Consider the following 23,654-nt stretch of genomic DNA (forward strand, 5'->3'; position numbering starts at 1 on the left):
GGGAATGCTTCCAGATTTTTGTTGCTTCTTGTTTTTTTTTTTTTTTTAATCTCTCTCTCTCTCTTTTATTTTATTTTATTTTTTTATTGATCATTCTTGGGTGTTTCTCGCAGAGGGGGATTTGGCAGGGTCATAGGACAATAGTGGAGGGAAGGTCAGCAGATAAACAAGTGAACAAAGGTCTCTGGTTTTCCTAGGCAGAGGACCCTGCGGCCTTCCGCAGTGTTTGTGTCCCTGGGTACTTGAGATTAGGGAGTGGTGATGATTCTTAACGAGCATGCTGCCTTCAAACATCTGTTTAACAAAGCACATCTTGCACCGCCCTTAATCCATTCAACTCTGAGTGGACACAGCACATGTTTCAGAGAGCACAGGGTTGGGGGTAAGGTCACCGATTAGCAGGATCCCAAGGCAGAAGAATTTTTCTTAGTACGGAACAAAATGAAAAGTCTCCCATGTCTACTTCTTTCTACACAGACACGGCAACCATCCGATTTCTCAATCTTTTCCCCACCTTTCCCCCCTTTCTATTCCACAAAACCGCCATTGTCATCCCAGCCCGTTCTCAATGAGCTGTTGGGTACACCTCCCAGATGGGGCGGCCGGCCGGGCAGAGGGGCTCCTCACTTCCCAGTAGGGGCGGCCGGGCAGAGGCGCCCCTCACCTCCCGGACGGGGCGGCTGGCCGGACGGGGGGCTGACCCACCCACCTCCCTCCCGGACGGGGCGACTGGCCGGGCGGGGGGCTGACCCCCCCACCTCCCTCCTGGATGGGGCGGCCGGCCGGGCAGAGGGGCTCCTCACTTCCCAGTAGGGGCGGTTGTTGCTTCTTTTGAGAGGGAATGTTAACATTGGTAACAGAATATAAAATGGCTAGCTCTCAATTTGCATAGTTAATAAAAGCAGACACACACACACACACACACACACACACACACACACACACACACACAGTGATGGATTTTTTAGCAGGTGACCCTGTTGCCCTCTTATCTCAGTTCAAATGCACATTTTATTTGAGTGTACTTGATCCCTTTAACTCTGCAAAAAGTACAAATGATTACAATTTATCAGAGTTTAAGGCTGTTTCCTTACTTACTGGCAAGTCTGTCTTTTCTTCAGACAACAAAAACGTTCTGACTTGTCCTACGCTACACAGCAAATAGATAGCATATTATGCAAGAAAAAGAAAGCTTTAATGAATTATGGAAACATTTATGAACATCCATTTGCTAAAGATGTTGTGGGAATTTCTCATGAGACTCAGAAACTCAAGTTACAATATTTTTACCCTTTAATGAGGAAATGATAGGAAAAGTTCAGAAAATGAAAATAATGCGATGCTTAATTATTCTAACACTTAATTATCTCTATTTGATGTTCCAGTGATTCCTCAGATCAATTCACTCCACCAAGTGATATGCATTTGAGTCACTTGGACAAAATCCATGGCAACATTTGAACACACCTAGAACAACCAACGTAACTTCCTTTATCCAACATGACAAAATTCTTCACTACTTTACTGTTACTACTACAATTATTATTACTATTTATTGAAGAATAGACTGAATCAGATAAAATTTAGTTTCATTTTGTCTCAAATTCTACTCATCTTACAGCATCTACACGAAGGGAACAAACTTTCAGGGAAGCAGAAAAAGTGGTGATTTAACCAGAACTGCTCATCCAGGAAGTAGATGGGTAACATCAATCACCCAGCAGTCCTACGCTTACCCTTCTGTACTCTGCTCTGAGAAGCAGGGGCTGGGAGTCTGCAACTACATTTCCCAGGCTTCTTCACCCTTTTGTTCTGTTCTGTCAACAGGCACTGGATGGTGGGGAGAGGGGAGCAGTCCTTTCCTCTTACTCTCACTCTCTCCTTCCTTCCCCTGGCAGTGTCTCTGAAGTGACTATGTCCCCTCCTCCACCGTCCCAGGGTGGAAGCAGTGGTCTGTCTCCATGATCACAGCTCTTGAGGCTGTGGTAGCTCCAGAGATTGTAACCTCTTGTGAGTTTTTAAATCTTGGTAGTGCCTCCTGTCTGTTCCCCCAAAACATATAGGATTCCCTTTAATCTCTGAGTTCATGTTACCATCCCATTTTTGCTCATCCAGCCTTCCAATGAGTCTAACCAATTCCTTATATTAAGTCTTCTCTATCTAAAACACTTAGAATGGTTTCTGTTTTCCTGGACACATCCAGTCCTTCCATCATGCATTGTCTTCCGCAATCCCTCTAGCCATTATTGCTTAGAATATAACTTTCTAAGATTAGTAATATGTCCCAGTAATTGCGCTCTTCCTGACTTCCTATTCCACAAGAGAACTGCCTTATATTCTCTCCATATTGGGGTCTAGAAATCAAAACAAATCGCTGTCTCCTGTTACTAGAGAGTGATTTCTTAAAACAAACAAACAAACAAACAAACAAAAAACCCTCTTAAGCTATTAAGTTCTTATTTGCCAGTATATAAATGGGTTGGTTGAGTTGTTAAAGATTAAGCTCTTAATGCTTTTAAGCTGTCAAAGAGGAAAAAGCTGGATAATTAAACCACAAGGGAAAGCAAAAGCCTTAAATAAGCAGGAACAGTTGGCGGAATGGAATACAGGAAGACCATTTCACGGCAGTGTAATTAGTAAACAATATAAACCAAAAGCAGTACAAGGTCTCAATGTGTTCAATGCTACAGATGATCTTCCAAGTGAAAGTGTAATGAATCCCAAGGACTACAGCACATGATAAAAGCTGGTACTTTATATTCTCCGTTCCTCCCTTTGGACATCATTCTTACAGAAGGAGCATTTATTATAAATCCTCTATTTTCCAAATCCCAAGGAACTGCAGTGACGGGCAGCTACTAGGAGAGGGGAGAAGACTAAGCTGTGGAGCCTAGAGGATAACCTGGGAGGCTGTGGGCAGACCCACTCACTTTGTGAGCAATAAAGTAACAGAAGAGCAATCCCCAGAAAAGGAAAAAAAGGGATGAAAGAAGAATTCTTTTTTTTTATTTTTATTTTTTGAGATGGAGTCTTGCTCCGTCGCCCAGGCTGGAGTGCAGTGGCGCCATCTCGGTTCACTGCAAGCTCCGCCTCCCGGGTTCACGCCATTCTCCTGCCTCAGCCTCCTGAGTAGCTGGGACTATAGGCGCCTGCCACCACGCCTGGCTAATTTTTTGCATTTTTAGTAGAGATGGGGTTTCACCATGTTAGCCAGGATGGTCTCGATCTCCTGACCTTGTGATCCACTCGCCTCGGCCTTCCAAAGTGCTGGGATTACAGGCGTGAGCCACCGCGCCCAACCAAAAGAAGAATTCTTATGAATACCAAGTCTCATATTTAGTCACTGAGTACTAGTTTAACAGATACAGTGAACAGAAACGGTAATCCCTACACCCATATATTCATAACCACCCAAATGCATGAATTCAGGTAAGACCTCATGTGCTCCCATCCTCCACCCCACCCCTATTCTCACTTCACTAACTTTGTGAGGATCGCCCCTGCTTTGTATGTGATTGAATTTTGAAGTCACCACTCGTAACATTATGTTGAGGTTTCACAGCCTCCCCTTCCCCCTGGGAACAAACAGCCGATCATTATAATAATTTCAGCTCTCCTGGAATCTTCAGGTCTCACAGAGAAACTGGTTTCAACATCAAAGCAGGTAACTAGGTCATAAAGCACAGAATTTTAAAATGTAAAAGAACAAAAATGCACGCAAGGTCAGTGGTTCTGGAGAAAGTTAATGTGAGACAAAGGAATATCTTGCCATTAATCTTCCTTGTTCAAGCATCATGCCATTCCATGAGTTCAGCCACATTCCTGCCACCCTTGCCTCTGTGCCCACGAAGAAATAATTCCTCCTTTCCACAGTGGAGTCAGCACATAGAGGTGGTATCTTCCTGTGGCATATCATAACTGAAACATGTTTTGCATTTTTTGAGTAATAAAAATGCGGTGATATGGTTTGGCTGTGTCCCCACCCAAATCTCATCTTGAATTGTAGCTCCCATCATTCCCATGTGTTGTGGGAGGGACCTGGTGAAAAATAACTGAATCATGGGGGTGGTTTCCCCCATACTGTTCTCGTGGTAGTGACTAAGTCTCATGAGATCTGATGGTTTTATAAGGGGAAACCTCTTTTGCTTGGCTCTTATTTTCTTTTGTCTGCTGCCATGTAAGATGTGCCTTTCACCTTCCACCTTGATTGTGAGGCCTCCCCAGCCACATGGAACTGTGAGTCCATTAAACCTCTTTTTCTCTATAAATTACCCAGTGTCAGGTATATCTTTATCAGCATTATGAAAATGGACTCATACATGCAACCACTTCACTTTAGTATTTCTTTTTTTTTAAATTTATTATTATTATACTTTAAGTTTTAGCGTACATGTGCACAATGTGCAGGTTAGTTACATATGTATATATTTCTAACACAAGCATTACTCGTCCACGTAAAGGGACTTCTGCAGAGGGGGAAGGTCACATTTTACCATTAGTTAGCCAGACGTTCCTGCTATCTTGTTTTCTCCATTCATAAGATTCTATCTCCACAACTCACAAAATCATGGCTACCCACTCCAGAAACAAAGACAGTAAGACCAAAGACATTCACATTATGGTAAAAACCAAAGCCTGGTTTTCCAATAAATGTAAAGCAGTCAGTGTTTTCTAGGATTGTTCCCCACAAACCATGGCTTCTGCTCTGACATGATTACCCTGTTATCCAAGTTCAGACAGAGCTGCTTCCCTGCTGCAGGGCCAAGGGCAGGTTACTGGAATCACCTGGGTGATTCATTATTGTTATTTTACTTACTTAATTTTTTTGAGGCAGAATCTCACTCTGTTGCCCAGGCTGGAGTGCAGTGCCGCAATCTTGGCTCACTGCAACCTCTGCTTCCCAGGTTCAAGTGATTTTCCTGCCTCAGCCTCCCCAGCAGCTGGGATTACAGGCACGTACCACCATGTCTGGCTATTTTTTGTATTTTTAGTAGAGATGTGGTTTCGCCATGTTGGCCAGGCTGGTCTTGAACTCCTGACCTCAAGTGATCCGCCCGCCTTGGCCTCCCAAAGTGCCGGGATTACAGGTATAAGCCACTGTGCCCAGTTTATTATTGTTATTTTAAAACAGATTCTCTATAGAGCCCTTGATTCCCTAAATGTCAGATGGGGTGGGACGGTCTGGATGCATGTCAGTTTTGGAAACTACTAGTTGGGTTTTGTTTTTTTTTTTTTTTTTTTTTGCAGAAGGAGAAGGAGCCAATGCAATGGCTGGTCTTTATTGGAAAGATGAAACTTTATAGCACATTTTGAGTAACTTGGTGCAGGCGCTCAATGCACCAGCTGATGGGTACCAGCTTGTAATGGGCTCCACAGCTGGGGCATTGCTGGGTCTTGCCTTTGTGCGGCCAAAACCAGATGACAGCACTGTTTTCCTCTTCACAGATGCACCCACTATTCTCTTGTTGGTGATGGAGGGGACTAAATTAGGGTCTTCCTTGGTGCCTAAAGCTGTCTTTGGGGGTAGTACATTGTATGGGTCCAGTCTCTTCCTTGCAGTCATCATGACCTCCATCTCTAGGCCAGTCACCTACTTGTTATCAATAGAAACACCACCTCCAGGCTGGGCATGGTGGCTCATGCCTGTAATCCCAGCACTTTCGGAGGCTGAGGCGGGCGGATCACGAGGTCAGGAGATCTAGACCATCCTGGCTAACATGGTGAAATCCCGTCTCTACTAAAAATACAAAACATTAGCCAGGCATGGTGGCGGGCGCCTATAGTCCCAGCTACTCCGGAGGCTGAGGCAGAAGAACGGCGTGAACCCGGGGGGCGGAGCTTGCAGTGAGCCGAGATCCCGTTGAGCCGAGATCCCGCCACTGCACTCCAGCTTGGGTGACAGAGTGAGACTCTGTCTCAAAAAAAAAAAATAAAAAAAAAATAAAAAAAGAAAGAGACACCACCTCCAGAAGCCATGGCACGCACCGTGGCCATGCCATTGGGACCGCCAGCCCTCAGGGCCTGCGCAGCCAAGCGCTCCAGCTCCATGAAGTAACCTTGAAAGCCATCGACAAGCAGCTAAGGGAACTACCAGTTCTGACAACATAAGAACTCTTTAAAGCGAAACTCTGTCTCCAAAAACAAAACAAAACAAACAAACAAACAAACAAACAAAAAACAAAACCAAGAAGCTTCAGGCCTTTAAAACGAGGGCAGCAGACATCTCTTTAGAACACGAGGATGCCTTCCTACCTGTAAGGCTAAGCTGGATAAAATCTGGAAATCTACATATAAACTTCTGTGAAAGTCATATCACTATGGATGTATTCCAGTTTGGTTAGAATGAACACAAATTTTTTAATTAACAATGTTTATTGAATACATCTAAATATATTAGGAACATATGTATTTGTTTTCTTGAAACCAAATTAAATGGTTGATTATAGGGAGAAGACAACCATTCGTGTTTAAAGAATTTTGCTATGTGTGTGTCTCATTTTATTTTTGTCAAGAAAATCAAGAGCAATCAGATCTTCGTAAACATCCTGTCAATAACCAAAAATATAAAGCTACTACAGAACACGTTATTTTCTATTTCCACCAAATAATGTCAAAGCCCTTTCAAATAAATCCCGTGCCCTCCAAAGCTGCCTTTTTTGGGGGAAATGCTCCCTGCAGATGAAGAGCTCTGCTCCCTTGAAGAAGGAGAACAAGGGAGCTCAGAAATCATACTACGGATTTGTTACTTTAATCTCTGTTCTTACTCAATTCTTGTTTTAAAAACAGAGAAACTGATGTTTATCAGGAAGTTACCCATTGGAGTGCTGTTTTACAGGGCGGACGGGACTTTAACATGTTAATTTATTCCTGGGTTTAACCTTTTGCGTGGGTGACCTCTTAAACTTGACTAATTCACACTGTACTGCTCTCTAATGAGAGCTTTAAAAAATTACTCAAAAGGAAATCAAATAGCTACCTTCAAATGAGATAGAAACATGTGAAAGAACTTTATAAAATGTATGGGCTAGGTGGGTGTCACTATGTCATTTTATTATAAATAAGAAAAATAACCCATCTTTCCTTCCACAGGCACAGGGCACCCCGCGCTTACCAGACGCCCGAGGTTGTAGTAACAGTCTGGGTATTTCCTTCTGTGTTTAATTGCTGTCCGGTAACTTTGCTCTGCTGCTTCAAACCGTTTCAGGCTATTCTGCACTATGCCTAGATTCATCCACGCAGCGGCAAAGTCTGGCCTAGAGGAGCAGTTTTAACAAAGATAAACAAGAAGATGAAAGGCTTAGATGCCGGAATGCAGGAGCTCCTTTCTTTGTCACTAGCATAATTATAAAAACAATGCTTACTGTATTTGAACAGCCAAAGACAGCAGCTCCTCAGCTTCCTGTAGCTCATTCCTTTCTTTTAAGATATTTCCAAGATTATTCATGGCATGAACATACTTGGGATTTAATCTGAAAGTTGAGAAAAAACCAAGCTGACCATTAAATGCTCAATAGTAAGTTTTTACTAAACTCTCAGGAATCGGTAAAGATATTGTAAAGTTGGGGTCTTTAAAGGAACAGGTGTTTCATATTAGAAAGTGAAAACGATCTGTGTACATAATTCTTCTGTAAGACATACTCGCCATACCTTACAGCTTCCCGGTAGTATCTGATGGCAGCTGTCTGGTTGCCTTTATCAGCCAGGTTTTTGCCAATGTTGTAGTGAACCTGCAGACAGAGAATAATTGGGCCATCAGCAGACAGACTTCTTGTTCAGAGCCTGGACCCCATCACATCTTCTAACTGAAGACAAAAGGTAAAGCGACGAGGAAAAAAAATCACCCACCAGAACTTTAGCTAAAACCCTACAGGGGTTAGGAGTTGCTTGTGCTTTAATCTCCAACCCTGTAAGAGGATCAGAAGAAAGGGGGTATAGGCATGATACATCTCTAAAGCACAACAGAAGGGAAATAACTAAAGACCTCACCAGAGACAACCAGAAAACTACAAAGCTGGGCTTTTTAAAATTTTACTTTTGATTTTTAGAGATGGGGTCTTGCTATGTTGCCCAGGCTGGAGTGCAGTAGCTATTCACAGGTGCCATCATAGCGTGCTGCAGCCTTGAACCCCTGGGATTCAGTGATTCTCTTGCCTCAGCCTCTCAAGTAGCTGGGACTACAGGCATACACCACCACACCTGGCTTGTTTTTATCATCAAAACCTCAAATTCCCCTCACCTACACACTCCACTAGAGTTGAGATAACAAAGTCTAGTCACATGTGGACATGAGTAGAAGAAAGCATGATTCTGTCCACCCATTTAAGCAAATATGGCCCTTTCTTGGATGGCACCTTTCTTCTATAGCTAGCATCACAAGCATTTTACTCTGTATCTGTAATAAGCAGAATGTTTATGGACTCTCAAAATTCAGATGTTGAAATCCTGACTCCTAATGTGATGGTATTGGGAAGTAGGGCCTCTGGGAAGTGATTGGGTCATGAGGGTGGAGGCCCATGAATGGATCAGTGCCTTCATCAAAAAGGCCCTGGAGAGCTCCCATGCCCCCTTTCCGCCACGTGAGGACACAGTGAGAAGACGACCGTCTGTGAACCAGGAGGCAGGCCCTTACCACACACCCAACCTGCCTGCACCTTGATGGTGGGCTTTCCAGCCTCTGGCACTGTGAGAAATGAGTGTCTGGCACCCTGTCTCTGGTATTATTCTCACAGGGTCTGAGCAAGGGCCTCGGTGTGGCTGGAGCACAGAGAGCAGGGATGCAGGTTGGAGAGCCCGGGAGGAGCAGCTGCGCTCGCAGGGAACCCTGAGCAAGGGCAGGCTAGGATCAGTCGTTGTCCTCAGAGCCACGAGGCCGGCGCGGGGCGGGGTCTGTAAGTGTGTGAGTGCCCCAGGGTTGCAGCAATAAAGCACCACAAACTGAGGGGCTTAACACAACACACTTCTCTCACAGTCCTGGAGGCTGAGATCACGGTGTGGGCAGGGCTGGTCCCATCACCGGCTGAGGGAAGAGACTGCTCCCTGCCTCTCTCCTGTCTCACGGTGCTTGCCCATAATTTCCGGCTTGCAGATGCCTCGCTCCCACCTCTGCCTCTGTCTTCATGACCATCTCACCTCTTGTCTGTCTCCCTGTCTCTTCTCCTGTCTTAAAAGGACACCAGTCACACTGGATTAAGGGCCCACCATCCTCTTGTATGACCTCATCTTAACTGACATCTTAATTACATCTGCAACAACCCTATTTCCAAAAAAAGGTTATACATTATACTTCTAGGTCCCAGGGGTTACGATTTGAGCGTAGCTTTTGGGAGGCACAATTAAACCCACAGCAGGAAGCCAGGGGTGGGAGGGTGGCAGAGGTCACCACCATGTTTATGTTCATATGAAACAAATCCCGTGGTGGGAAAGAGATGTGAGTGGGGGAGAAGCAGGTGTCAGGGGCTCCAGGGAGGCTGTGGCTGCAGTCCTAGGAGAGAGGTCAGCAGACTGAACTAGGGTGGTGGTGAATCTGTGGAGGGGTTTGAAGAACAGTGAGGAAGCAAAAAGCATACAAATTGGTGACCAACTGATAGGAGAGAGGGAAGAGTGTCAAGAACAAGTGGTAGGTTCCCAACATTCAGGACAGAATGGGTGTGATGACTTTCAAGAGATGTGATGGGTGACCAGCCTTGTTTAGGGGTACAGGATAGGCTGACGTGGAAGTCCATGGTCACCATCCATCTCCAGAGTTCTTTCATTTTGCAAATCTGAAACTCTGTACCCATTCTCACCTCCACCAGACCCTGGCAACCTCCATTCATTTTCCGTCTCTATGCATTTGACTCCCACGTGCCTCATGTAAGTGGAATTGTACAGGATTTGTCCATTTGTGTCACATGTGTCAGAATTTCCTTCCTTTTGTGGCTGAATAATATTCCCTTGCATGAGTACACCACATTCTGTTTGTCCATTTGTCCCTGGATGGACACCTGGGTAGCTTCTACTTTTTAGCTATTGTGAATAACGCTGCTGTGAACATGGGTGTACAAATCTCTCTGAGTCTCTGCTTTCGGTCCTTTTGGATATTTGCCTGGAAATTGAATTGTTGGATCACAGAATTCTGTTTTTAATTTTTTGAGGTACTAACATGGATAGTTTTATGTTATAGGAATTTTACCTCCATTTAAAAAAAAGAGAGAATGAGGAAAGGATTTTCAATGACTGAAGAGGGGGTGAAGTAGGCTGGATAGAATGGGGCTCCCAGCTGCCAATCTACTAGGAATTCTCAGGTCACCTTGGAACGAGGGCATCAGGGAAGCCAACGTCTGGTAGTTTCTCAACTAAACATGGGCTTAGAATAAATGACAAAGAAAAAAGTGGGGACTTGAACTAAGCCTAAGGCAGCCAGACTACACAAGCTCACGAAGACTACAATAAAAAGAATTTGTTGGCCGGGCGCAGTGCCTCATGCCTGTAATCCTAGTACTGCAGGAGGCCAAAATGGGTAGATCACCTGAGGTCAGGAGTTCGAGACCAGCGTGTCCAACATGGTGAAACCCCATCTCTACTAAAAATACAAAAATTAGCTGGGTGTGGTAGTGCACGCCTGTAATCTCAGCTACTTGGGAGGGTGAGACAGGAGAATCGCTTGAACCCAGGAGTTGGAGGCTGCAGTGAGGCAAGAGCATGCCACTGCACTTCAGCCAGGGCGACAGAGCAAGACTCTGTCTCACAAAAAGAAAAAGAAAAAGTGAAAGAAAAAGAAAAGTATTTGTTGATGATCAAAAGCTCCTTTCGGGACTTTACAATACAAAGTGAGTAGCAAGCCCAGAGGAGACGATGCTACAGAAACTCACTCAATCAGAAGCATGAAGTGTGGGTGCTGCTAACAACAGTCACGGTGAATGGTAAGATGGTGTGTAGCTGGCACACCTTGAGTGGCACCCACCAGCTGGGAGCGGTGTTGCGTGCTGTGTGATCGCGGTCTTTCCTCACGGTGGCTCGAGGCCGTGGCTGCTGTGACCCTCTCTTCTGAGTTGATAAACTGCTTCGGGGCCATTCAGCGTCTCATCTAGGGCTGTGAAGTTGGATTAGAACCAGGCTCTGAAGCCTGTGTTTCTTCCCACTAGATAATACACATTGATTACAGTGCTGGGGGAAGATGAGGGTGACTGCTCGAGGCACTTTCTAGATCCACTCATTCATACCACTGGCCTTTTTCCTAAGTAAAATCACATTTCTTTTTATATGTTATTGTCCCCCAAAGTTTACATTAAACCCTCAGCACCCCAGAATGAAAATGTATTTGGAGATAGGGTCTTTAAAGAGGTAAGTAAGGTCAAATGAGGTCATATGGTTGGGCCCCCATCCATATGACCCCAGTCCAGTATGAATGGCGTCCTTACAGAAAGAGGAAATATGGACACAGACACCAGAGATATGTGTGCACAGAAGACACACCACGTGAGGACACAGGGGGAAGGTGCCGTCTGCAAGCTAAGGAGAGAGGCCTCACAAGAAACCAACCCTGCTGACACCCTGATGTGACAATTCCAGCATTTACAACAGTGAGAAAATTAACTGTGGTCTAAGCCACCCAATCTGTGTGTATGTGTGTGTGTGTGTGTGTGTGTGTGTGTGTGTGTGTGTATGTGTGTGTGTGTGTTTATAGCAGCCTGAGAAAACTAATAAAATCTTGAAATACAGAAGTGGTTTAAACACATTCAAATAACATTATGTCTGAACACTGCTTCCAAATGACCCCTGAAAACACAACCACATCCTGCCTTATCCATCTTAACCTACAGTTACAGCACTTCGTCAAACATACTTAGATTTCTGGAAGAATATGCAGCAGTGCATATTAACAGGTTTTCTTAACTGCCAATTTAAAAGCATATAGATTTATGTTTACCCACTCTGATGAAAGGACTCACAAGCAGAGAAATTGCAGGTGATAAAAATGTGTGTACTACCATGCACCACACAGTAGAATTTAAGCTTTCTGCATCAAATTATTGTCCATTCATAGGTATTTTTGTCCTCAAATTGTAGCTTGGAGGAGGCTCAGTTAATGCTATCGCTGAAGTGTGTGTTGAGAAAAGTGCTCTAAATGATTAGAATTTGAGCTTCCCCCAACCCAGCTTGGACATGTGACTTCACCTCCTCTCGTATGCACAAAACAACCTAGGGCCGGAGAATCCAATCTGTCAGTGATGTCCTTGTAGTCCTCAGAATACAAATACAGCTTCTACTCAGACATCAACACGACGCCCGCCTCTTCCGCCCCAAGCTCCTGCTGTTTTCCTTTGTTCCAGGCAAATTCTGTTTTCTCAATAAAAAGCCCAGACAAAGAGTTCAACCGCCCTCTGCAGTATAGACAGTGTTCTGTTAGACACTCAGAATGCCAGAGACCAGAAGATCAAAGGAGAAGGACGTGGGACTCTGGAACAGGAACTAGTTAAAAATCTGATACAGCCTTAGAAGGCAGGCCATCATTAAGAATTGGTAAACAGGTTTCCCTAGAGGCCAGCTTTATCCTATGGGTTAGGTGGAGGGAATTCTTTGAATAAAAAATAGCTGCCTAGATTGCAAAACAAAACAAAACAGAACAAAAATCTCACAACCAGGTCACTTAAAATAGTGTTTAGAGAATGACTGACTTTTGTTTCCCTGAAATATAAATGATTGAAAAGCTTGTTTATTCTTCAACTTTCCCCCTAGCATTTGTGATGCACATGCTGAGGCAATGAACTAGCACAGAAGTCGAAGATAAAACAAACATTACAACCCAGTAACATGTAAATGCAAGAAAGTGAGAGTATCAGTTATGAAAGGCACCTTTAATACCAGGGCTAAACTAATTTGTTATAAATATTCTGGCAACATCTAATGTTAAACTTAAAATGTTTTGAAAACATAAAAATCCTATAGCATCCTGGGTCACTTACTCCTTAAGAAAATACCTCATTGTGGCATATGATCTGTTTCATTGTTAAAAGAATTTATTATAGAATTGTATCACAGAGTTGATGGTGTGACATACTTTTAAGCCTTAAAAACTAAAAATGATTATAAGTATACTTGGTATCTCATCCACAGTAGTCTCAGTGAATTCAACTTCCCTTTGGCTGAATTCAATAACTAATATTGATTGTCTACCATATGCAAGGCACTGTGCCTTGACATGCAGACCAGGGACCAGCACTACCTACACTGACATTGCAATCTCTCAAAAAAGATGAGTCTTAGCTCACACATCTGGCCCTAAATTAGAGCCAGTTGCCAATTTCTTACTTTATATTCAATAGATATCAAATGAAACCAGTATAGAAAATGTGTCCCCTGAAATAATGGGACTGAAGGAAACCAGTGTCTTCCTAAGTGAGATTACTTTCCTAAAATTAACTTACATTTTTTCAAAAAAAAGGAAGTAAAGATAATTTTATGACACTTCAATTTAAAAAGAAACTCCCAAAAATCTCAATCTTGCTTATATTGAATAGAATCATTGAAAAATGTTCTTGAGAAAGGACTATTACCACTGGGTCCATTTTGAAGATGAGGTCTTATATGTATTCCTTAAATTAAGAGGAAACCACACACACACACACACACACACACACACACACACACACTCTCTCTCTCTCTCTCTCTCTCTCTCTCTCTCTCTCTCTGTCTTTCTCCTAATACTTACGTGCATTCCCACAAGCACACGCCCTGTGTTTTCTAGCCTGTAACATATGAAATCACTTCCCGGGCAGATTTTTGGGTTCAGACATCACCTATGTTCCATCCCCCTTATTTACTAGAGGCACCTGGGCACATCACCATACCAGGTCTCTCTGTAGCCACCTACATTACTAACCTAGATAATGTCAGTTTAATCTTGCTATGCTTCAGTTTCTCCCATCTGGGAAAACAGAGAAAATAATACGCTGTCTCTCTAAAAAGCTGAGTGAGAGGATAATAGAGATGAATTATAGAGCCTCTGTAAAGAAATCTGAACTCCTTGTGGTGAGGAACTCCACACATAGAAGGGGCAATTACTGCGATTCAAACAGTAAAGGAAAAATAAAGCAGATCTATTAACGTTTAAGAAATTAAATCACAGGCAATTTATTTTTGGTAGCATAAAATAAATTGATAAGTCAACAAATCAAACTAAAGATAAAAGCTGAAAGTAATTCACTATTTTATCTAAGTCTCTTAACTAAAATATGAATGACAGGTTTTAATCCAAGAAAAAGATAAGTAGCCAGCATCTCTTATATATTATTCTTTACTTAAGTTTCATAATAAGATGTCAACTATTCATTAGTTTTGTTTATATAATTTTGTCTGAAATCACTGCTTTCCCTTAAATATGGAACATAGACATGAAACAGATCCAGAGAGCTCCCCGTCTCCACCCAGGAGGATTACATTTAAGCAATCTAGGCAGCTCTTATGCTGAGGACCTAAGAGAGAATGATCATTATTTCATGATAATAATCTATACTAAAAGAAAATTCTTCTAACCTAACCCCTTGGCCCCCATTTTGAGCAAATAGCGTTCTCTTCCCAACATAATGCAAAACCCAAACTGAAATGAACCTACAAAAGCTAACACTTGGCTGGGCGCGGAGGCTCATGCCTGTAATCCCAGCACTTTGGGAGGCTGAGGATGGGCGAATCACGAGGTCAGGAGTTCGAGACCAGCCTGGCTAACATAGTGAAACCCCGTCTCTACTAAAAATACAAAAATTAGCCGGGCATAGTGGCGCATGCCTGTCCTAGCTACTCGGGAGGCTGAGGCAGGAGAATCGCTTGAACCTGGGAGGCGGAGGTTGCAGTGAGCCGAGATCAGGCCACTGCACTCCAGCCTGGGCAACAGAGCAAGACTCCATCTCAGGGAAAAAAAAAAAAAAAAAAAAAAAAAAAAAAGCTAACACTTTCTGAGCACCTACTGCTGGCCACCGTGTGAGGGCATTTTAGTTCATTCAGCCCTAACAACAAATCCAGCAGATAGGTATTATCCACTTCTGATAGAAAAGGGCACTGCAAGTTTTAAAAAGTGTAGTTTTGCCCAAAGAGGCACAGCTAGTCAAGTGAAGAGCTTGGATTCATCAAGAATACAAGTGAAAAAATTCCTACCAGATTGCTTCAAACAAAAACACTGCCAATTTTAGAGTACAGTCATGCATTACTTGATGACAACAAGGATACATTCTGAGAAATGCATTGTTAGCTGATTTTGTCATTGTTTGAACATCATAAGAGTGTACTTACACAACCCTAGATGGTAAAGCCTACTATACACCTAGGCTATGTGTGGTCTAGCCCGCTGCTCCTAGGCCAGAAACCTGTGTAGCGTGTGACTGTACTGAATGCTGGAGGCAATGGTAACACAATGGTAAGGATTTGTGTATCTAAACATAGAAAAGAGGCAGTAAAAATATTGGTCGGGTGCAGTGGCTCACGCCTGTAATCCCAGCATCTGGGAGGCTGAAGCAGACGGATCACTTGAGGTCAGGAGTTCAAGATCAGCTTGGCCAACATGGTGAAACTCTGTCTCTACTAAAAATACAAAAATTAGCTGGGTGTGGTAGCAAGCGCCTGTAATCTAGCTACTCAGGAGGCTGAGGCCGGAGAATCCCTTGAACCCGGGAGGTGGAGGCTGCAGTGAGCCGAGATCGCACCACTGCACTCCAGCCTGGGTGACAAGAGAAAGACCCAGTCTCAAAAAAAAAAAAAAAAGGTATAATTTTATGGGACCATGGTCATATATATGCAATATGCGGTTTGCTGACTGAAACACTGTTACATGGCACATGACTGTATGTACATTTATGTTTACCTAATCTGACCCCCAAAAAATCACTAGCAGGGCACCCAAAGGTGACATAAATGTGTACTATTGTGCAGCACATAGCATAAACTTCCTGAACTACATTATTGCCAATTTGTAGGCATTACTACCCCTTTAAATTCCAGCTTGGAGGAGGCTAGTTAATGCTATCACTAGAGAGTGGGTTTTGAAAAGTGTGCTCTAGACATCAGAATCTGTGCCGTGCCCACCCTCAGTCTGAATACGCAATGTCACCTCCCCTGAAGCTACTTCAAAGGGTGAGTAGATCATCTGGAAGATGATTAAGACCTCATTAGAGTCATCTGTTTCATTGATACTGTCTGCTTTTAAATGACTTCTTTTCAATTTTGGCTGAGTGGAATTTTAATGAATCTTATCAAAATCATTAAAAAAAACCATACATAACAAAGAAAAACCCAAGTATTCGGTCATGGTCTTACACTAAATACTGCGCGACAGGAAATGTTCTTATTCAGCCCAAGAACTTAACAGATACCCTAGTAAGGTCCCTTTAAAAGAAATCTGGCAGCTAGGTACCTTAGCATTGAGGGGACACACAGACAGAGCACTTCTGAAAAGCTGTTCCTCACTCCGCCACTCGCCGCTGCGCAGCACACATCTCAGCGTGTTGATGAATAAGATTCCCAGCACGACAGCGGCAATGAGTTTCTTAAGAACAGAAAGACATGGTAATTGTCACCAGTGAGATGCATCCGGTCATTCTGTTCATCAGCTGGCACCACTCTCAGTTGATACCTTTTTCTTGGTATGTTTGCTCAGGGCTCCGAATCCAAAAGTCAGCAGCACACAGTACCCAACGCTGGGGAGGTAGAGGACACGCTCTGCGACCACGAAGCCCACTCGGAAGAACAGGTTACTCGCGGGGAGAAATGGGATAACGAGAAATCCCAGGCCCAGAGTAAGGATCCTGGATGATGAAAAGTATTTAAATAAATGGCTATTTCCAGACTTCTCAAGAAAAACATCCTACTCCACATTAAATTAATGCTAAAGACCTTTTCTTTTCCATGGCATCAACTGAGAAAAGATATTGTTGTCAGCCAAAGGATATCATCAGTAGAGACAGTTTAGCTTGGTAGCATGTGGATAAGGCACAAAAATATTCCTCTGGCACTTCACAGCGAGTCTAAGGGTAAAACTCAAAAGCCATACAATTCGTATGGAGAAAATTAGCATGATCGCATTTCTGAGGCCTTATTAATTCACCTACTCCTCACTATGCCTCAAACCATTTAGGTACTGAACAGTTCAGTGGATATTGTTGGTCTCAATTAATTCAAAAACTGTCCCAATCAGTTTTCACGGGGAAAAAAAAATTCCTCCAAAATGTAATGAGAATAATAACACTTAAGTAAGTTTAAAGTTTATGAAATTTGAAATAAACAAATACCATTTTTTGGTTGCTACATCACCACCATAAATTTCAGTCAGGGAGATACGAAGCTGAGCATTGAAACACTTCTGGAACCACCTGATCATTCCCAATGTCCCCTATGATGCAAGAGGATGAATTAAGACTCTAGGTCAATTTTGGTGGCTCCTTCTTGGGCCCTGTGGCTACAGTATTTCTATAAAAATCCCATTTTCTGTGGATAAGGGAACTGGGACTAAAGTTTGTGGCTCCTTAGAATTACTAACCAATTCAACACACAGGTAAACTTAAAACTTAATTTATTTTGAGACATTACTAATCTAATTCCATAAACACTTAGGCTTAAAGGAAATCACCTTAAACAGTTTTCTTTTTCATGAAACACATTTGTTTTCCCCAATTATTTTCTCAATAACTTTTTTTTCCATCAAGAAAGAACAGTCTCTTTGGGGCAATGGCTTATTTTGTACCCAGCTACAACAGAGGGAATCATGGCAGCGTTCACCAGGGTGTTTTGAGGAAGAATTGTGCAATAATGGGCACAACACACATCAATTACACTCTCTGTTCTGACCGTAAATTACTCTTTACCACCTATGGTGAAAAGGATCGCAAAATGCTACTTCCTAGGGAAAGGGGAAGGGAGGGATGAAGCAGTCATCCGTAGCTCCTCTTCCAGCCTCGCTCCCCACCCGCGGAAGCCAGCCATGGATTCCAAATGGATGGAACTCATCCTAGCCATAAATATGCATTTGAAACAAATGTCCTTAGACGTGACTTCCACAAAATCATAAAAATGATCAGCGCAGGATTTCACAAAACGCTTCTGACTCAACCAGCGTGGAACTTAAGATTCAGTGCTGCCTCTTACCTTCTCTTGTGGCCGTCTTCAGAGCACAGGGCTTGGCATATCAGGCCAATTAGGCAGAACCAGAGTGCTGCAAGTGCAATTACCCTCCAGTCGCTGATGGACTTAATGAGGGGGATGCAGCCCATTGACCAATCAAAACACAGCCACCAGGGACACAGCAGCAGCCAGGCATTCAATGAATAGTAGTAATTGTAGTTTACGGCCTGCCAGTCAAAAGGAGAACAAACATCTATTTGATACTGAACTTAAAAAACACATATATACGCACTAACTTCACTTTGGAGGCACTCATATGCTTCTGCTCAATGAAAGCAGTTGTATCAAATAAAATGTTGCCAACGTGTATTGGGTATGTGACTATAGTCTGTAAAAATGTATTAAATGTATTCAGATTTTGGTATATAAAAATATGGCAAAGCCATCAGACTATGCAATACATTCGTTATATTTCTGGCAAAGCTATGATCTATTTGCTGCCTGAAGCCTGTGACCTCTAAATCTGAGGACCCAGGGTCACCTATACACCCAATAACATAACAGGCTTCGATGGCTGTTCTCTTGATTTTGGTCTCTATGAAATGCACAGCTAAGAATCTGTGGCTTGATACCCTTGCCTTTAGAAAAAAGGCAAATCTAAAAGAATAGTCTTGACACCACTAGTCTTCTAAAGATACCACCAAGAAGGTTATATTTAGCCTTAACCCAGCCACAGGGTTAGGGAGCCCTTTCACGGGACTGGCAAGGACCCTGATGTGAGAAGGAACCACCCTCTTTACTCCTTGTTAGAACGGAAATGCAAGGAGCTTCTGCATGCCCTTTCAACCCCCTCAGGAAGACCTGCTTTCATCCCAGAACATCTTTAGTGATCGCAAGCAAACATGGAGGTGGCGCGTGTATTGGGGATTTTGTTGGCGTGCAGAGGAGTGAGACGAGGAGGAGGGGTGAGGGATCTGGGAATCTGGTGGGGGAAGAAAAGAGTCCAGGGGGCGGCAGGCTCAGAACTCACCCTCACCAGCATGCTGTCAGCAAAGGAGGCCGGGTTGTCCACCTCGGTGAAGGCCGGCGGGCCCGTGCCCATGATCCTCCAGCGCACGTAGAGCATCCCAGCCCCTCCAGAGGTGAGCAGGGTCATTCTGAAGAGGAGGCCCCCGTTCCTGAGCATGCCGAGATTCTGCAAGGACATCGCAAAGCCCCAGAGGTGGCTGATTTTCACATAAAAGTGTGGCTGAGCCAGGTACAGATGTGCAGCAATTCTGCCTGAACTGCTTCAACACTGTGCTTTAAAAGGCTGGTTATTGTAGAATTCAAAATCACAAGGAATATTTGAGAATGGCATTTTAAATCAGCTGGTACTTGACATTTTCCATGTCTGGGCTGGAGATAAAAGTACAGACTCACCTCTAATGACTTGTCCTTATGTAGTACCTTCTGGACAATTTCCAGAACATTGAATTTGCCTATCACCAAGATGTCAAATACCGCATTTAAACCCTAAGAAAGCAAAGCAAGACAATCAGCCACGGGAGAGCTTGGCTGTGTTAGGCAGCAATTACACTTCACAATTTCATTACTCAATCTAGACAAGGAACACATAGACTAGAGAATCACGGAAGACCTCTGCAGCTCTTTAAAAAAACACATAACAGCCGTACGTTTCTATGAAATTAGCTCAAGGTAATAGATCATATTTATTATTTAGTAAGCCCCTGATAGTAATGATTTCACAGTCTGCGTGTAGGAGTTCTACAAGATTCAGGATAGCTAGAAATTTGGGATTCCTAGGAAAAGCCCTCGAGAGATACCCCCTCCCCACTTTTTTTGGTCACTATAAAACAGTCCTTTAGTTCATGCAACAGAGTGTTTTCCTGGGCAGTAATCATACTGGAAGATAAAGGCAGCCATCAACCTCAAAAACCCAGCCATGTAAGTGAACCTTAAGTGCCAGTGCACTTTGGCATCTTTAGAAATGGGATGAACACACATGATAATCTCTAATGGAGCTCTGGAGATCTCTTGTGCAGAAATCTAGTTGTCCAGTAGTTTTCTCGCTGGGTTACAACTAGATGACATCTCCCAGCCTCCCCTGCAGTTAAACTAGGTTGCGGGGCTGAGTTCTAGCCTTATGGAATGTGGGAGAAGCGACACGTACCATTTTGGATGTTTGGTTGTAAAACTTGGGCACACATTCCCACTTGGTTTCCCCTTCCAGCTGGCTGGAATGGAGATGGACAGGGTGACTTTGGAAACCACACATTGATGAGAGCAGGCCTTTGCCAGGCAGGGCCGTGGTGTGGAGGACGGCCACCTCTATCAATTTACAGCTCTGTCCATGACCCATGAGGGGAACAACAAATAACTTCAATTAGCAGTCCACCTATGTTAACAGTTTCCAATAGCACCACGATAGTTACTTTCTAGCCGGTAAAATTAAACCTGTAGTTACAGGCGAAAGGAGAGATGGGCCCTGGATTCTATTCTCTCTCCTGCCATGGACTTTCTATAAATGTCACTGCTGCAGGCAGTGTCATCGACAGAACTCCCTGCCCAATCTGGATAAAGCAGTCTGCACATACTCAGTGGATATTGTTAAAGCTGCCCCTAAATGACTTGGGTCTCTTTAATATGATCTTCTTTGCGGCAAAGGAGATCACACATCATCAGAAGTCAGTGGTAATTTGTGGTTTTCAGAGCAAGGATGACATCCCTACTTAACCCTCTCCCAGAAATGCTGGGAGCCACTAATTATCTAATACATGGGCCAGTGCTGGGTTAATCAGTTCAAAGAATTCTGATTTTATTCACCCATGTGAGACATGATCTTAGTGGGTCACAGAAGACCGTTTCTGCCTGGTTGAAAACCACTTTCTAGAAGGCAGATGCTCCCTGCGTAGCAGCCATTGTCTTCTCACAGTTTTCCTGTGAGCTGCAGGACAGTTACCAAGGGGTGGCAGGTTCATGTGGTGAAGAGGCCTGAGCCAAACACAAGACTGCCCCCTTCCTTCTTAAATGCATCATCAAAATGGCCCCATTTTAATCCAATTTTTGAGAATAGCTACCTTTCACTGTATCTTTATTCATGTAAATTCAACCGAACTCTCTCCTGCTCCTGAAAAACGGCACAGAGGAGGCCTGGCGTGGTGGCTCACGCCTGTAATCCCAGCACTTTGGGAGGCTGAGGTGGGTGGATCACCTGAGGTCAGGAGTTCGAGACCAGCCTGGCCAACATGGTAAAACCCTGTCTCTACTAAAAATACAAAAATTAGCTGGACGTGGTGGCATGTGCCTGTAATCCCAGCTACTCGGGAGGCTGAGGCAGGAGAATTGCTTGAACCTGGGAGGTGGAGGTCGTAGTAAGCTGAGATTGCACCACTGCACTCCAGCCAGAGCGACAAGAGAGAAACCGTCTCGAATAAAAATAAAAATAAAATAAAATAAAATAAAATAAAAAATAAAGTACTGCACAGAGGAGCCTCCCGAGGACCTTGTAGATGGAAATTCCGACTCAGCAGGCCTGGGGAGGGGGTGGGGCCTGGGATCCTGAATTCCTAACCCTCTCCCAGATATTGCTGATGCTCCTGGTCCTCAAACCACACTTCGTATTAGGGAAAGGTTCTAAAACCAGCAGTTCTCAGGGACGATTTTGCCCTCCAGGGGGGTGTTTGGCACTGTCTGGAGACATTTTAGGTTGTCACAATTGAGAGGTCCCACTGGCATCTAGTAGGTGGAGACCAGGGACGCCACTAAACATCCCACAAACCCAGAACAGCCCCCACAAGAAAGAACTGTCTGCTGTAAAACATTAATAGTGCCAAGGTTGAAAAACACTGTTTTAGAGCAAATTAAAAAAAAATTAACTCATGAAATTCAAGTATCTTTCTATGGTAATTCTCCCTATACCATCTCTTTGCTAGCTTAATCTTAATAGATACAACCTAATAAAACACTAATTTTTGCCTTGACTTGTATCAAGCCCCAGACAGCTTTAATTGTTCTTTCCTTTCCAAGCTATTTCTATATGATCATTCTAATCCCACAACTTGGCCAGGCGTGACGGCTCATGCCTGTAACCCCAAGGCTAGGAGTTTGAGACCAGCCTGGCCAACACAGGGAGACCCCATCTCCACAAAAAATTTTAGAAAATTAGCTGGGGTGGTGGCACACACCTACACTATACCAGCTACTTGGGAGGCTGAGGTGGGAGGATCGTTGAGGCTGCAGGGAGCTGTAATCACGCCACTGCCCTCCCTCCAGCCAGGGTGACAGAGTGAGGCTCTGTCTCAAAAAAAAAAAAAAGGGAAAAAAAATTCCATATCTTTCCATTTCTCTACCTCTGTTCACAACCTTAATTTCTATATTTTCTTCTAATAATGGAAAGCAATGGAAAGCAGGAAACTGGTTAGAATGGAGAAAAAGAAAAATGGATTTCAACACCTCTCCTTTCCTGGGTCTTTAATCCTAGCATCTACTCAGATCAGACTGAAAAGGTAGATGTCTTTCCGCTTCAGAGAGCCCTCCCCCACCCCCCTGACACTGCCGGTGGAAGCCGAGGTACAGTTTTTTTCCAGGAAAACAATGTACCCCAAGAGAATACAGTGTATACACATATTACACACAGAGAGACTTCAAGGCTCGAAGTTAAAACACGTGATTACCTGGCACATCTGGCATAAAAAGAGTTCTCTGAGAACAAAGTCCCACTAGAAACATTAGCACCATTACAGATTCTCCTTTAAATACTAGACTAGTTATTAATCTTGTAATTTCAGGTCAAACATTTGTGACCATGGAACACTTTGGTTCCAGCGTTGCTTGAAGTTGCACTTGGGTGGTGATTAACTATAACCATAGGTAACCGCTGGGGGTGGAGGAATGACGAGAAGAGAGACAGAATGTGTGTGCACGTGAGGCTTTGAGTGGCTGCAGAACTCCTGTTCCTTCATCTTTTCCTTCTTTCTTTTTTTTTTTCTTTTTTTGAGATGTAGTTTTGCTGTTGTTGTCTAGGCTAGAGTGCAATGGTGCAATCTCGGCTTACCGCCACCTCCGCCTCCTGGGTTCAAGCGATTCACCTGCCTCAACCTCCTGAGTAGCTGGGATTATAGGCATGCACCATCGCGCCTGGCTAATTTTGTATTTTTAGTAGAGAAGGGGTTTCTCCATGTTGGTCAGGCTGGTTTCGAACTCCCGACCTCAGGTGATCTGCCCGCCTTGGCCTCCCAAAGTGCTGGGATTACAGGCGTGAGCCATGGCGCCCGGCCCTGTTCCTTCATTTCTAAACTATCCACCAGCCTTTCTAGATCCAGGATCAAAACCATTGATGAGGTCAGTCCTAGGTGATCTAGGACTGCTGAAATATGTACAAGCATCCCAGAAAACTCAAACCATTCTTTTATCTTTTTCTACAGGGCCTCTCAAGAGCACTCATCATGGCTCCCTAAGAACTCCTCATTCACCATTTCTCCCCAGTTGCACATGACTGTCAAGAAAGTCAGTCAATTCTCCATCTGCAATGCCAGAATTGTGACAGCGAAAGCCATTTGTCCAGAAAG

The 23,654-nt window shown here is 43.7% G+C and overlaps 1 protein-coding gene and 1 pseudogene across 12 annotated transcripts in view, besides 1 other annotated feature; both read right to left on the reverse strand.

Moving 5' to 3' along the window:
• TMTC4 (transmembrane O-mannosyltransferase targeting cadherins 4) overlaps positions 1–23,654 on the reverse strand; it is a 71,451-nt gene that overhangs the window by 14,799 nt on the left and 32,998 nt on the right. For 6 of the 12 annotated variants that reach the window (NR_146794.2, XM_047430706.1, NM_001286453.3 and 3 more), the window contains 8 exons: positions 19,507–19,599; positions 19,115–19,279; positions 18,109–18,311; positions 16,601–16,772; positions 16,382–16,513; positions 7,648–7,727; positions 7,362–7,469; positions 7,112–7,253 (listed from right to left, as the gene is read on the reverse strand). Coding sequence is in view for 11 of the 12 variants with exons in the window: in XM_047430706.1 (XP_047286662.1) it covers positions 7,112–7,253; positions 7,362–7,469; positions 7,648–7,727; positions 16,382–16,513; positions 16,601–16,772; positions 18,109–18,311; positions 19,115–19,279; positions 19,507–19,599 (1,095 nt within the window). In the remaining variant the exon portion in view is untranslated. Of the gene's footprint in view, positions 1–7,111; positions 7,254–7,361; positions 7,470–7,647; positions 7,728–16,381; positions 16,514–16,600; positions 16,773–18,108; positions 18,312–19,114; positions 19,280–19,506; positions 19,600–20,257; positions 20,432–23,654 lie in introns of all 12 variants that reach the window. The other 6 variants (XM_011521122.4, NM_001350574.2, NM_001350571.2 and 3 more) reach the window with 2 other exon arrangements.
• On the reverse strand, positions 5,250–6,082 carry COX5BP6 (cytochrome c oxidase subunit 5B pseudogene 6; annotated as a pseudogene).
• Positions 8,794–9,315: an enhancer, noted in NCBI's record as "H3K27ac-H3K4me1 hESC enhancer chr13:101279471-101279992 (GRCh37/hg19 assembly coordinates)". NCBI's record gives its function as "activates a minimal SCP1, AML or CMV promoter by ChIP-STARR-seq in naive and primed H9 embryonic stem cells {active_cell/tissue: H9 hESC(naive and primed)}" and the evidence as "EXISTENCE:reporter gene assay evidence [ECO:0000049][PMID:30033119]".

Source organism: Homo sapiens, chromosome 13, assembly GCF_000001405.40.
Source record: "Homo sapiens chromosome 13, GRCh38.p14 Primary Assembly".
NCBI lineage: Eukaryota > Metazoa > Chordata > Mammalia > Primates > Hominidae > Homo > Homo sapiens.